We start from the raw sequence: 2131 nt of genomic DNA on the forward strand, positions 1-2131 counted from the left end.
AACGGAAGGGGCGGGTGCGGACGTGGAGCTTCCGGCCTTGCAGTTCCGCTTCTGGTTGCAGCGGCCGCGCGGATCTGAAGGAGGCGCCAGAGCACTAGGCAGGGGCCTTGAGTGGTGCAGCGTGAGGCAGCGCCCAGAATGGAGATGGGTCTTGAGGTTCCAGAATCTGAGATCAATCACCTCTTTTGTATTTTTTTCAAATGTCACCTTTTCAGGGCCGGGCATAGTGGCTCACGCCTGTAATCCCAGCACTTTGGGAGGTCGAGGCGGGTGGATCACCTGAGGTCAGGAGTTCGAGACCAGCCTGGATGGTGAAACCCCGTCTCTACTAAAAATACAAAAATTAGCTGGTCGTGGTAGCATCCCAGCTACTCGGGAGGCTGAGGCCGGAGAATCGCTTGAACCCAGGAGGCAGAGGTTGCAGTGAGCCAAGATCGCGCCGCTGCACTCCAGCCGGGATGACAGTGTGACTCTCTCAAAAAAAAAAAAAAAAAAAAAAAAAAAAAATCACCTTTCCTGTGAAGCATTCTCCGTTCATTCTATTTTCAGTTCACCCAACTCCAGCCCCATGCCTTATCCTTCTCTCCCGCTTTTTCCCTTAGTTCTTACGATTCTTGTATTTAGTTTACTCTTAGTGCTTGTGAATGCCAAAAAGGCAGCACTTCGTCCGTTTTGTCACCTGCGCCCGTAACAGTGACGGTATGTAGGAAACATCAATATTTGAGTGAATGAATGAACCCAATGCACTGCATCTAAAAATGGAGAAACTGAAGGGCACTGGACTCCAGGTTTGAATCGCAGCTCCAATACATACTAGCTCTGTAATTTTGAGCAAGTTAACTGGCCTGTGCTTCAGTTCCTCACCTGAAAATGGCAGTAACAGTATTTACCTCATAGTTTTGTGAGGATGAAATGAATTACATGTAAAATGCTTAGAACTTACATGCTTGGAGCATACTGAAAGCCCAGAGTTTTAACTTATTTATTACTAGAAAACTTCTTATGTTAAAAGTCAAGTTCATTGCTGCCTGAGAGCCATTTCTTCTGCCAGTTCCCAGCCTGAAATAGGACCCCATGTTCCCACATCTGATTTCACATTCAGCTGACTGGGCAAATAGCACCTTTTAGGCAAGGTCTTTTTTGACAAAGAGCCCAAAGTAGCCCCATAATCACTCTCCATTTCTTTTCTGCTTTTCTTTCCATCCTCTCTCTGAGGTTTCCTTCCTCATGGTCAGTCTCACAGGCCCAGCATGGCAGCCCCACGTGAGCAAGGCCCTGCCTGCACTGTGCATCCCTGTTCTATCCCCAGTGTCTGGCATCCACGGAACTTCAGTAAATTTGTGTAAATTTACTGAATTTCTGTCAGCCCTGCCTATGAGACAGTGAAATCCTCGAGGACTGGAATTGTCAGATTCATCTTTGAAACCCCAGTGTCCAGTGGGGAAGGCACTGGAATCGGGTCCTTCACTTTTTCTCCACAGGCACATACCATACTCTCTAGAAGCTAAACCAGGGAGGACCAAGGAAGAGGGCAACTGAAAATCTGCCTCTTCTTTCTTCCCCTCCCATGTGACAATAAGTTTCTAAGAATTAGCAACCCTGGGAGATCAGGCTGTTTCCACACTATCTATCCTCTAAGGGCCACAGGAAGGTCCCCAGGCAGCCCAGCACATCCCCATGTTGCCCACTCATCATGCTCCTCCCTGAGTGGACCATGGGGTAGACACCCGACCCTTCCCTCTAGCCTGGCCCCCAGGCATAAGCTACCACCGATACTTACAGGTCCTCACATTTTTTTTTTTTTTGAGATGGAGTCTCACTCTGTTGCCCAGGCTGGAGTGCAATGGTGCGATCCTGGCTCACTGCAACCTCCACCTTCTGGATTCAAGGGATTCTCCCACCTCAGCCTCTCAAGTAGCTGCGATTACAGGCACGCGCCACCACGCCCAGCTAATTTTTTGTATTTTTAGTAAAGACAGGCTTTCACCATGTTGGCCAGGTTGGTCTTGAACTCCTGACCTCAGGTGATCCACCTGCCTCGGCCTCCTAAAGTGCTGGCATTGTAGGTGTGAGCCACCACGCTTGGCCACATTTTGCTTAATTAAAATGAATCAAATTAGACACTGCAGTG

At 48.7% G+C, this 2131-nt stretch overlaps 1 annotated feature.

Moving 5' to 3' along the window:
- Positions 97-196: an enhancer, noted in NCBI's record as "active region_7003". NCBI's record gives its function as "activates an Ori minimal core promoter by ATAC-STARR-seq in GM12878 lymphoblastoid cells {active_cell/tissue: GM12878}" and the evidence as "EXISTENCE:reporter gene assay evidence [ECO:0000049][PMID:35858748]".

This window comes from Homo sapiens, chromosome 12 (assembly GCF_000001405.40).
Source record: "Homo sapiens chromosome 12, GRCh38.p14 Primary Assembly".
Lineage (NCBI taxonomy): Eukaryota > Metazoa > Chordata > Mammalia > Primates > Hominidae > Homo > Homo sapiens.